Below are 13,130 nucleotides of genomic sequence, written 5' to 3'. Positions count from 1 at the left end.
ACCATCCATAGGTGAATGAGTAATTGTATTAATTTTCTAGGGCTGCCATAACACAATACCAAAGACTGGGTGGCTCAAACAACAGAAATTAATTTTCTAACAATTCTAAAGTCCAAGATTAAGATGCTGGCAGTGTTGGATTTCTCTGAGGCCACTCTCCTTGGCTTGCACATGGCTGCCCTCTTTCTGTCTCTTCACAAGGCCATCACTGTACGCATGTGTACCCCTGGTGTCTCTGTGTGTCTTAATTTCTTATAAGGACACTGGTAAGATTAGGGTCCAACCTAATGGGCTGATTTCAACTTAATTCTTTAAAGTCCTACCTCCAAATACATCACATTTTGAGGTACTAGGGGGTTAGGATTTCAACATATAAATTTTGGGTATGCACAATAATGTCCATGGCAGCAATCGATTGTAGCATCTCTATGAAATGGAACACTATCCAGCAATATAAAAGGATGCCTATACATAATATGGACAAATCTCAAAAGCCTTAAGCTCAGTGAAAGAAGCCAGATGCAGATGATTACATGTAGTATCATTCAATTTATGTAAAAATCTAGAAAAAGAAAAATCAGTGGAGCAAGAAGGCCAAAGAGAAACATTCATCAATTTTCTCCCCACAGGAACACGAGCTGAACAACTACTCATGCAAGAAAGCACATTCATAAGAACCAGAAAACTAGATGAGTGATCGGAGTACCTGATTTTAACATAATATCAAGAAGAAAGGCATTGAAGTGGGTAGGAAAGGTAGTCTTGCATTGCTTAAACCACCCCTTTCCCATCCCTTGGCAGACCAACATGCAGAGAAAAATCTGTGTGCTTGTAGAAGAGAGCACGAAGTGAGTGTGGGACTGCATTGGAACCTGGTGCTGCCCAGGCACAGAAGAACACAACACGGCACAATTCTACTTGTGCCCATGGAGACAGCATTTACACCAGCCTGGGGCCAGAAGCAAATTCCTTTCAACCCCCGTGAAAGGAACCTGAGTCTCAGCTGGCACCACCAACAGCTGACCGAAGTGGCCTGGGGCCCAGAATAAGTTTGAGTGGCAGTTAGGTCACAAGGACTGCAGTCCTTGGGCAAGCCCTGGTGCTGCAGTGGTCTCTAAGGCTGTGGACTTTGGGTGCATGTGACCCAGCATGACACCAGCCGTAGCAGCCAAGGGAGTGTGCCACACCCCTCCCCCAACTCCAGGCAGTGTGGCTCAGAAAGAGACTCCTTCTGCTTGAGGAAAGGAGAGGGAAGAGTACAGATGACTTTGTTTTTCAACTTGAGTACCAGCTCAGTCATAGGAAAATAAAGCGCCAAGTAGAATCCTGAAGCCACCGATCCCAGGCCTTTCTTCCTGGACAGTGCGGCTAGACCCAACCCAGGCCAGAAGGGAATCTGCTGTCCTGGTTGGTTGGACACAAGTTCTGGCTGGTTTTACCACCTGCTGACTAAAGTGGCCTCAAGCCTTGAATAAACGTCAGTGGCAGTCAGGTAGTACTGACTGTGGACCTTGGGCAATCCCCAGTACTGTGCTGGTCATAGAGTCCATGGGTTTAGACTAGCATTACTGTGATGCCAGCTGTGATGGACACAGGAGTCCCTGTGTCACGTCTCCCCCAATTACAGGCAGCCTGGTATATATAGAGGGACTTCTTATACTTCGGGGAATGAGAGAGAAGAGAGTAAGGGACTTTGCCTGGGAACCCAGAACATTGTCTTCTCTTTCCCACATCTATCTAGGCTGGGTATCTAGGAGTCTGCAAGATTTATTGCATACTTGGGATTATGGCACCCTCTAGTGCTGAAATGGCTGCAGTGACCACAGCTTAGGGAACTCAGCACTCAGTCCCCTTTGAATTCTTTGAAGGCCCTCTGAAGAAGAATGAGTACAAGCAAGGCCAGACTGTGAAGACTGGAATAAATAAGAAACTCTTCAGTGTTCAGACATGTACAAATATCCACAAGTATTGAGAACATTCAAGAAAATATGATCTCATCAAATGGACTAAATAAGCTGCCCAGTGACCAGCCCTGGAGTGATAGAGATCTATCAGATAGGGAATACCTTTCAGACAGGGAATTCAAAATATCTGTCTTGAAGAAGCTCAAAGAATGTCAAGAAAACATGAAGAAAGAATTCAGAATTTTAGCAGAGAAATTTAACAAAGAGATTGAAATAATTACCAAAAAAAAAAAAAAAAATCAAACAGAAATCCTAGTGCTGAAAAAGACAATGGATGAACTGAAAAATACATCAGAATATAACAACAGCATAATTGATTAAGCAGAAGAATTTGTTAGCTTAAATACAGGCTATTGAAAATACAGAGGAGAAAAAAGAAAAAGAATGAACTGTGCTTAAAAGATATAGAAAATAGCCACAAAAGGGCAAGTCTAAGAGTGATTACCTTTAAAAAGGGAGTAGAGAAAGATGTAGGGATAGACAGTTAATTCAAAGAAATAATTATAGAGTACTTTCCAAATATATATATATTCATATATATGATTCATATTCATATATATATTCATATAGATATATGATTCATATTCATATATATATGAATATCCAGGTATAAGAAAGTCAAAGAATGCCAACCAGATTCAACACAAGACATATAACAATCAAACTCTCAAAGGTCAAAGATGAAAAAGAGGAAAGGTAGCAAGAGAAAAGAAACAAATAACATATAAAGGAACTCCAGTAGATTGGCAGCAGTCTTCTCAGCAGAAATCTCATAGGCCAGAAGAAAGTGAAAAGACGTATTTAAAGTGCTGAAGGGAACCATCTTCAACCAAGAATATTCTAGTCATCAAATATATTCTTCAACCATGAAGGCGAAATAAAGGCTTTCCCAGCAAACAAAAGCTGAGGGAATTCATCAATACCAGGCCTGTCTTACAAGAAATAGTAAAGAGAGTTCATCAGTCTGAAAGAAAAGAATGCTAATGTGCAACAAGAAATCATCTGAAGGAGTAAAACTTACTGGCAAAAGTAAATACACAGACAAATTGAGAATATTTTAACACTGTAGTTCTGGTGTGTGAACCCCTCATATCTTTAGTGTGAGCACTAAAATACAAATCTGTCAAGAATGATGACTGAATAGCTTTTTAGGAGATATATAAAAAGATATAAAGTGAGACAACGAAAAGAAAAGGAGTGATGAGTTATAGTGTAGAGATTTTTAGTTTATTCTTTGCTTATTTCTTTTCATTGTGATCAAAGTCAAGTTGTCATCAGTTTAAAATAACTTGCTGTAACTGTAAGATACTTTTTATGTCTCATGGCAACCATAATGCAAAAATTTATAGTAGAGATACTAAAAACAAAAAGCAAAGGATTAAATCATACTACCAGAGAAAATCACTTATCCACAAAAAAGGGAGTAAGAAAATTAGAGAAGACTTAGAAAACAAATAACAAAATGGAAGTAGTAAGTCCCTAACTATAAATATAAGATTTAATGTAAATGGATGAAATTCTTCAACTAAAAGACATAGAGTAGTTGAATGGATTGAAAAAAAAAAAGACCCAACTATATGCTGCCTACAAGAAAACTCACTACACCTATAAAGATGTACAGACTGAGAGTGAAGGGATAGAAAAAGATATGCCATGCAAATGAAAACCAAAATGGAACAGGTCTAGCTATATTTATATCAGGTAAAATAATTATTTTTAAATAATGCAGTTTTTCAAGTTAAAAACTAAAAAAGAGAAAGTAATTATATAATGAAAAAAGTCAATTTAGAAAGATGTAACAATTGTAAATATATATGACCCCAACATTAGGGCACGCACAAACACATAAAGCAAATATTAGTAGATCAAAAGGATAGACTTCAATACAGTAATACCAGAGAACTTCAACACCTCATCTTCAGCAATGGGCAGATCATTCAGAGAATACATTAACAAAGAAAAAAACCCAAAAGAAACTAAAGCAAAAAACCTAAAACTAAAACAAAGAAGAAAACTAAAACAAAGAAATTAAACTCAAAATTGGTAGAAGGAAATAAAGATCAGAGCAGAAATAAATGAAATAGAGATTTTAAAGTACAAAAGATCAACAAAACGAGTTTTTTTTATTTTAATTTTTAGTTCTGGGGTACATGTGCAGAATGTGGAGGTTTGTTAAATAGGTAAACATGTGCCATGGTGATTTGCTGCACCTATCAACCCATCACCTAGGTATTAAGCCCAGCATATATTAGCCATTTTTCCTAATGCTCTCCCTCCCCCAGCCCCATCCCTCGACAGGCCCCAGTGTGTATTGTTCCCCTCCCTGTGTCCATGTGTTCTCATTGTTCAGCTCCCACTTATAAGTGAGAACATGTGGTGTTTGGTTTTCTGTTCCTGCATTAGTTTGCTAAGGATAATGGCTTCTAGCTTCATCCATGTCCCTGCAAAGGACATGATCTCATTCTTTTTTTTTTTTTTTTTTTTGAGGTGGAGTTGCACTCTTGTTGCCCAGGCTGGAGTGCAATGGTGTAATCTCGGCTCACCACAACCTCTGCCTCCCGGGTTCAAGTGATTCTCCTGCCTCAGCCTCCTGAGTAGCTGGGATTACAGGCATGCGCCACCACGCCCGGATAATTTTTTGTATTTTTAGTAGAGACGGAGTTTCTCCGTGTTGGTCAAGCTGATCTCGAACTCCTGGCCACAGGTGACCTGCCCACCTCGGCCTCCCAAAGTGCTGGGATTACAGGCGTGTGCCACTGCGCCCAGTCTAGCTCAGTACTTTGTATGAACACATAGTTTGCATTAAGGTTGAACTGCATATATGGTTTTACTTAAGGGTATATGCTTAAGTGAAAAAGGCATGGGTCAGAAGAGTGTACAAAGGATGCTGAATTATTTGAAGCCAGCAGAGGCATATGTATATAGGGACAGACAGGTGGGGAAACAGAAATGAAAGTTAGGATTCTATGGAATTATTCTGTGATATATCTTTGGGTTTTTACAAACATAAATACTTTATATAATTCCTAAATAATGTTCAATTAAAATGAAATTATAAAATCCATAAAACTCAGGGGTTCTACACTCACAAAGGAATAGAAATAAAACAAGGGAAATATTTAAAAGATATAAGATCTATCAAAGTTAATAACATTATTGTGATATTATACTATAATTTGCAAATGTAACCATGAGGAAAAACTGGGCGATATGGGCCAGGCTCTTTCTGTTTTATTTCCTACAACTGCTTGTGAATCTATAATTATTTCAATAAAATTTTCAATTAAATAGCCCAGTGATATGTAAGATGAAAATAAGATATTGTAAAACCTTGTCTTAATCATATCTTGGTAAACACCATTGGGTATTGATGAATTGAAACAAATAAACCTACAATGTAATTGGTAGCAAAGCTTTCACCATAGAACAAAGCAAGTACAAATGCTAACTCAAATAATTTAAATAATCTCTAAACTACAAAAATTTTTGGAAGACTAAACTAACTCATTTTATTTTAAATATATATTTTGTATTAATTTCTATAGAAAATACATTGTGATTTGACTGCATAGTAATAATCATTGTAATCTATAAATTAATCATCAAAGAAATAGCAACCACAAAGATTGGAATCTCAACACATATGTTAAAAAGAAGTCCTAGGCCGGGCGCGGTGGCTCACGCCTGTAATCCCAGCACTTTGGGAGGCCGAGACGGGCAGATCACGAGGTCAGGAGATCAAGACCAACCTGGCTAATATGGTGAAACCCCGTCTCTACTAAAAATACAAAAAATTAGCCAGGCGTGGTGGCGGGCGCCTGTAGTCCCAGCTACTGGGGAGGCTGAGGCAGGAGAATGGCGTGAACCCGGGAGGCGGAGCTTGCAGTGAGCCGAGGTGGCGCCACTGCACTCCAGCCTGGGCGACACAGCGAGTCTCCGTCTCAAAAAACAAAAACAAAATACCAATACTATGCTGTTTTGGATACTATGGCTGTGTAAGGTGTTGAAGTCAGGTAGTGTGATGCTCCAGGTTTGTTCTTTTGGCTCAGGATTGCTTTGGCTATTTGGGCTCTTTTGAAGATCCATACAAATTTTAGAATTTTTTTCTATATCTGTGAAAAAATGGCATTTGTATGTTGATTGGGCTTGCATTAAATCTTTAGATTGTTTTGGGTAGTACTGTCTGTTATTTTAACAATATGTATTCTTTGAATACATGAGCATGGGATGTCTTTCCATTTGTTTGTGTCCTCTTCAGTTTATTTTATCAATGCTTTGTAGTTTTCCTTGATGTCTTTCCCCTCTTGATTAAATATTTCTCAGTGTTCTATTTTATTTTATTTTGCTTTTTATAGCTATTGCAAATGGAATTGCCTTCTTGATTTCTGTTTTGGCTATTTCATTATTGGTGTACCGCAATGCTACTGATTTTTGTATATTGATTTTGTGTCTTACAACTATATTAAATTTGTTCCCCAGTTCTAAGAGTTTATAAGATCATATTACAACAAAGAAAAACAATTTTACTTTATATTTTCTCACCCGAATATCTTTTATTTAGTTAGCTAGGTATTTTTCTTGCCTGATTTCTCTGGCTAGGACCTCTAGTACTATACTGAATAGGAGTGGCAAAAATAGGTATCTTATACATGACATTCAGAAATGTGCACACATTATAGTGGTATGCTTCAATACATTTTTCTTGTAGGTCAACACATCTCTGAAGGCAGGACACATTCAAAGAAAGTCCAAAAAGACCAACACCACATGGTCATGGTCTCACTTGTATGCAGAATTTAGGCAAGTTGAGTTTATAAAAGTAGAGAGTAGAATGGTGGTTACCAGAGGCTAAAGAGATAGAGGGCAAACTGAAAAACGGGAGGTTTTTGTGAAAGCATACGAAGTTTCAGTTAGACACAAGGAATGTGTTCTAGTGATCTGTTGCACGGCGTGGTGACTATTGTTAATGTCTATTCCAAAATTGCCAAAAGAGTAGATTTTAAATGTTCTCATCAGAAAGAAATGATAAGTATGTGAGGAGATGTGTATTAAAACATAATGACGGACAAGGTTTTATAATGCCTTATTTTTGCCTTACATATTCCTGAGCATTTTTACTGACCATTTTATTAACAATAATTTTAATTTAATTTTAGACTCACAAGCAGTTTAAAAAATAACTCAGAGAGCCTCTACACATGGCCCAGTTTCCACCCATGGTTACATTTGGCAATTACAGTATAATATCACAATGATGATATTGATTTTGATATATTCACTATCATCTTTTTTTTTTTTTTTTGAGATGGAGTCTCACTCTGTCGCCCAGGCTGGAGTGCAGTGGCGCGATCTCGGCTCACTGCAAGCTCCACCTCCTGGGTTCATGCCATTCTCCTGCCTCAGCCTCCCGAGTAGCTGGGACTACAGGTGCCCGCCACAATGTCCGGCTAATTTTTTGTATTTTTAGTAGAGACGGGGTTTCACCGTGTTAGCCAGGATGGTCTCTATCTCCTGACCTCGTGATCCGCCTGCATCGGCCTCCCAAAGTGCTGAGATTACAGGCATGAGCCACCACACCCGGCCCTCACTATCATCTTAATATTTTCCTAATTTTACTTATACTGATTTGAGGAGAGTCTCTTGCTACAAATGTGTTGGACTTGCTGCTTGTGTCTGTATAGGACAAAGACTATGGAGCCACTGACCCACACCAAGAAGCCAAAACTCAAAAAGTCAGGAGAAAAGTATATAATTGTATATAAGGTGCCAAATATTTCTTGCATTGCCCAGGAGCAGACTCCATAATTGTTTTTCACACTAAGGTTTTTGCTGTTCAGTGGGCTGTTATTAAAACGTCAAGAAACAACAGATGCTGGCAAGGTGGTGGAGAAATAGGAATGCTTTTCCACTGTTGGTGGGAAGGTAAATTAGTTCAACCATTGTGGAAGACAGTGTAGCAATTCCTCAAAGACCTAAAACCAGAAATACCATTTGACCCAGCAATCCCATTACTGTGTATATATCCAAAGGAATATAAATCATTCTATTATTATCATTCTGTTATAAGGATACATGCATGTATATGTTCATTGCAGCACTATTCACAATAGCAAAGAAATGGAATCAACCCAAATGCCCATCAGTGATAAAGAAAATGTGGTACATATACACCATGGAATACTATGCAGCCATAAAAAGAATGAGATCACGTCCTTTGCAGGGATATGGATGGAGCTGGAAGCCATTATCCTCAGAAAACTAACACAGAAACAGAAAACCAAACACCAAATGTTCTCACTTATAAGTGAGAGTTGAGCGATGAGAACACATGGAGACAGGGAGGGGAACAACACACACTGGAATATGTCAAAGGGGTCGGGGGATGGAGCACATCAGGATAAATAGCTAACGCATGCTGAGCTTAATACCTAGGTGACGGGTTGATAGGTGCAGCAAACCACCATGGCACACGTTTACCTATGTAACAAACCTACACATCCGGCACCTGTATCCTGGAACTTTAAAAAATTAAATTAAATTGGCGCGGTGGCTCACGCCTGTAATCCCAGCACTTTGGGAGGCCAAGGTGGGTGGATCACGAGGTCAGGAATTCGAGACCAGCCGGGCCAACATGGTGAAACCCCATCTCTACTAAAAATACAAAAAAAATTTAGCCAGGCGCAGTGGCAGGCGCCTGTAATCCCAGATACTCAGGAGGCTGAGGCAGGTGAATCGCTTGAACGTGGGAGGTGGAGTTTGCAGTGAGCCGAGATAGCGCCACTGCACTCTAGCCTGGGCAACAGAGTGAGACTCTGTCTCAAAAAAAAAAAAAAAAGAAAGCAAAGAAAGAAAAAAAAATTAAATTAAATTAAAAAAAAAAAGGAAAATCTGTCTGAAAATTCTCACCAGTTACCAACACTTCTTTCTGAGGCTAGGAGGAGAAGGAGGTGGTATGTTAAAGTCAATAATCACACTAACTTTATACATACAAGAAGCTTTCAAAATAGTCATAGTAAAAATGGTACTTTATAAGGAGAAGCTGAAAAAATAGGAAACCAAATGCATATTGGAAATAAATTATACAACTAGGACAATGGAGCAAAATAAGAGATTAAAGCAAAGAATCAGGAACTATCTTGAAAATAAATGATGAGTTCATATAAATAGGAAAAACATTTGTCAACAAGTGGTTTGTGGGAATCTAAAAGGTTTTCATACCTCAGAGCCTGAGTTTTTTTTTTTTTTTTTTGAGACCGAGTTTCACTCTTGTTGCTCAGGCTGGAGTGCAATGGCATGATCTCGGCTCACTGCAACCTCCGCCTCTGGGGTTCAAACGATTCTCCTGCCTCAGCCTCCCGAGTAGCTGGGATTACAGGCATGCGCCACCACCTCTGACTAATTTTTGTATTTTTAGTAGAGACGGGGTTTCTCCCTGTTGGTCAGGCTGGTCTCGAACTCCCGACCTCAGCTGATCCACCAGCCTCGGCCTCCCAAACTGCTGGGATTACAGGCGTGAGCCACCTCTCGCCTGAGAATCTTGATACTGCTGTGTTATTGATTGCTCCACCCCTAAAGAGATGTAGTTATTCATGGGAGAAAATACCTCATAATTTTCCCTGATGATAGCAATTCCATAGAGACACCAAAAGAATCTAAATTATGGCCGGGCGAGGTGGCTCATCCCTGTAATCCCAGCACTTTGGGAGGCCGAGGCGGGCGGATCACGAGGTCAGGAGATCGAGACCATCCTGGCTAACACGGTGCAACCCCGTCTCTACTAAACACACACACACACACACACACACACACACACACACTAGCCGGGCGTGGTGGTGGGCGCCTGTAGTCCCAGCTACTCAGGAGGCTGAGGCAGGAGAATGGCGTGAACCCAGGAGGCTTCAGCCTCCCGAGTAGCTGGGACTACAGGCACGCACCACAACACCCAGCTAATTTTTGTATTTTTAGTAGAGACGGGGTTTCACCATGTTGGCCAGGATGGTCTCCATCTCCTGACCTTGTAATCCACCCGCCTCAGCCTCCCAAAGTGCTGAGATTACAAGCGTGAGCCACCGTGCCTGGCCGCAGTTACTATTTCTTTTGTGATTGATATATATGAATATTGTGCAATGAAATTCCCTCCCAATTGAATTATCTTTCCCTAAAAATAAACCCAAGCTTTCTGGAACATATTGAATTTCCTATTTAACAAGTTTTAAGGATATCTTAGGTGTTTCTGGGATTAGTATTTATTTTCAGGATCTTTTGCATTTACTTGTGAGAAATGGCATTGAGATAAAAATGTGTGGGCTCAAGGTGGTCATGGTTATTTCTACGGAGTCAATTCACAATCTCTAGACCTGTCCGGTGGAAAATAACAGAAATATATGTGCTTAAAATAAAATATACCATGATGCAATGTTGATTGTTCCAAAAATTATAGTTTTTAAAAATTCTTCAAGTTAGCATTTGTACTGTGCTGAAGGCCTTGTTACCAATTGTATTGTAGCGTTTTTTTAATTTCTTTTTTTTTTTTTTTTGAGACAGAGTCTCGCTCTGTCGCCCAGGCTGGAGGGCAATGGTTTGATTTCAGCTCACTGCAACCTCTGCCTCCCAGGTTCAAGCGATTCTCCTGCCTCAGCCTCCCGAGTAGCTGGGACTAGCACGCGCCGCCATGCCCGGCTAATTTTTGTATTATTAGTATTTTGTATTATTAGTAGAGACAGGGTTTCACCATGTTGGCCAGGATGGTCTCCATCTTGGCCTCCCGAAGTGCTGGAATTACAGGTGTGAGCCACTGCACCCGGCCTAAAATTTGTTTCAATGCATCAATAACAATGGTGTTTACTAAAATATTAGTGTGGAAAAGGTTTTATGGTGTATTATTTTTGCTTTTCATATCTCCAGGCTACTTAATTGAAGGTTTTATTGAAATAAGTGTAGACTCACAAGCAGTCATAAGAAATAATACAGAAAAAGCCCTGTCCATATTACCCAGGGTTCCGTCATGATTACATTTTGCAAACTATAGTATAATATCACTCTAATGATATTGACTCTTCTGTGTTCTGTTTTTATATATTTCCCTAGTTTTGCTTGTATTTACTTGTTGCATGTGTGTAAGCCCTGAGTTTTATAGGTTTGATTTGTGGATCTGTTGTGCGGTTGAGCCCTCATTCATTCACCTGCTTCTCTGCAGTTGGACACACAAGCAATTGCCTTTGCACGAACAGGGACAATCTTAATTTCTGTTTAAGATGAGAAAATATGGTTGGAGACACATTAAAACTTCTGTCTCCACTGATGACAAGATACTTCTTTCTGCTTTTTTATTCTACTGATTCTTCAGACCTCAATGAAAATCAACATCCCCTAGATTTTGATGAAATGGCTTTTGGAAAAGTAAAATCAGGGATTAGCTTCCTCATTCAGACTGGAGTTGGGATCCTGGGAAATTCCTTTCTCCTTTGTTTTTATAACTTAATTTTGTTCACTGGACACAAGCTGAGACCCACGGACTTGATTCTCAGCCAACTGGCCTTGGCTAACTCCATGGTCCTTTTCTTTAAAGGGATACCTCAGACAATGGCAGCTTTTGGATTGAAATATTTGCTGAATGACACTGGATGTAAGTTTGTCTTTTATTATCACAGGGTGGGCACAAGAGTTTCCCTCAGCACCATCTGCCTTCTCAATGGATTCCAAGCCATTAAGCTCAACCCCAGTATATGCAGGTGGATGGAGATCAAGATTAGATCCCCAAGGTTTATTGACTTCTGTTGTCTCCTCTGCTGGGCCCCCCATGTCTTGATGAATGCATCTGTTCTTCTATTAGTGAATGGCCCACTGAATAGCAAAAACAGTAGTGCAAAAAACAATTATGGATACTGTTCTTACAAAGCATCAAAGAGATTTAGCTCATTACATGCAGTCTTATATTTTTCCCCTGATTTTATGAGTTTGGGCTTCATGGTCTGGGCCAGTGGCTCCATGGTCTTCTTCCTCTACAGACACAAGCAGCAAGTCCAACACAATCACAGCAACAGACTCTCCTGCAGACCTTCCCAGGAAGCCAGAGCCACACACACCATCATGGTCCTGGTGAGCTCCTTTTTTGTTTTCTATTCAGTCCATAGTTTTCTGACAATTTGGACAACTGTAGTTGCAAACCCAGGCCAGTGGATAGTGACCAACTCTGTGTTGGTCGCCTCATGTTTCCCAGCACGCAGCCCTTTTGTCCTCATCATGAGTGATACTCATATCTCTCAGTTCTGTTTTGCCTGCAGGACAAGGAAAACACTCTTTCCTAATCTGGTTGTCATGCCATGAGTCTTTTCTCTTCATGGAATTCAGCTATTTATCATAACTCTTGCTAAGATTTAGGAAATATTAACTACTAGTTATTTGTGATAGCAACATACACATGGCCAGTAATGCTCTTGTCCAGGAAGATCTAATACCAGAGCTAAAAATGAAAGTCATGGATACTGTTACACAAAGAACACTCTATATAACTGTGTTAAGTCCTTCAGACAAGTTCAGGAAATCAAAAAGTTTAAAAAGGGAATTCTTTAGAGATTTAGGGGAGATTTCTCATTTTTGTACTATGAAGAATCATGGAATGTTTTAAAAATATTTTTAAAGCACAGTTTGATTCAGGTGCTTCTTGAACAGCATAAATCCCCTGGAGAGTCCACATGTAAGAAAGACATGTGCAGGCCGGGCACAGTGGCTCACGCCTGTAATCCCACCGTTTTGGGAGGCTGAGGCACTCCCAAATGCCTCAAGTGATCCACTCAAGATGACTTGAGGCCAGGAGTTCGAGACCAGCCTGGCCAACATGGCAAAAACCCTGTCTCAAATACAAAAATTAGCCAACCATGTGGCACACACCTGTAGTCCCAGCTACTCCAGAGGGTGAAGCACGAGAATTACTTACCAGCTTGGGTGACGGAGGGAGACTCAAAATAAAAATAAAAATAACTAAAAGTGGCTGGGCACCGTGGGTCACGCCGGTAACCCCAGCACTTTGAGAGGCTGAGGTGGGCAGATCACTTGAAGTCAGGAGTTCAAGACCAGCCTGGCCAACATGGTGAAACCCCATCTCTATTAAAAATACAAAAATTAGCCAGACATGGTGGCAGGTGCCTGTAATCCCAGCTACTCAGG

At 40.0% G+C, this 13,130-nt stretch overlaps 1 protein-coding gene and 1 pseudogene across 1 annotated transcript; one reads left to right on the top strand and one right to left on the bottom strand.

Moving 5' to 3' along the window:
- Window positions 7,595-7,804, bottom strand: VN1R107P (vomeronasal 1 receptor 107 pseudogene; annotated as a pseudogene).
- Window positions 10,575-12,925, top strand: VN1R1 (vomeronasal 1 receptor 1). The gene has a single exon (NM_020633.4). It carries the CDS (start codon window positions 11,229-11,231, stop codon window positions 12,288-12,290), a length of 1,062 nt encoding a protein of 353 aa, NP_065684.1. The 5' UTR covers window positions 10,575-11,228; the 3' UTR covers window positions 12,291-12,925.
- The last annotated feature ends 205 nt before the right edge of the window (window positions 12,926-13,130 follow it).

Source organism: Homo sapiens, chromosome 19 (assembly GCF_000001405.40).
Source record: "Homo sapiens chromosome 19, GRCh38.p14 Primary Assembly".
Classification (NCBI taxonomy): domain Eukaryota; kingdom Metazoa; phylum Chordata; class Mammalia; order Primates; family Hominidae; genus Homo; species Homo sapiens.
The sequence above is the reverse complement of the archived record's forward strand: the minus strand, read 5'-3'. Positions and strand labels throughout refer to the sequence as shown.

What these genes read in the sequence shown, in the direction of transcription:
- VN1R1 (NM_020633.4), top strand. Translation starts at nt 11,229, where the DNA reads ATGGTTGGAGACACATTAAAACTTCTGTCTCCACTGATGACAAGATAC.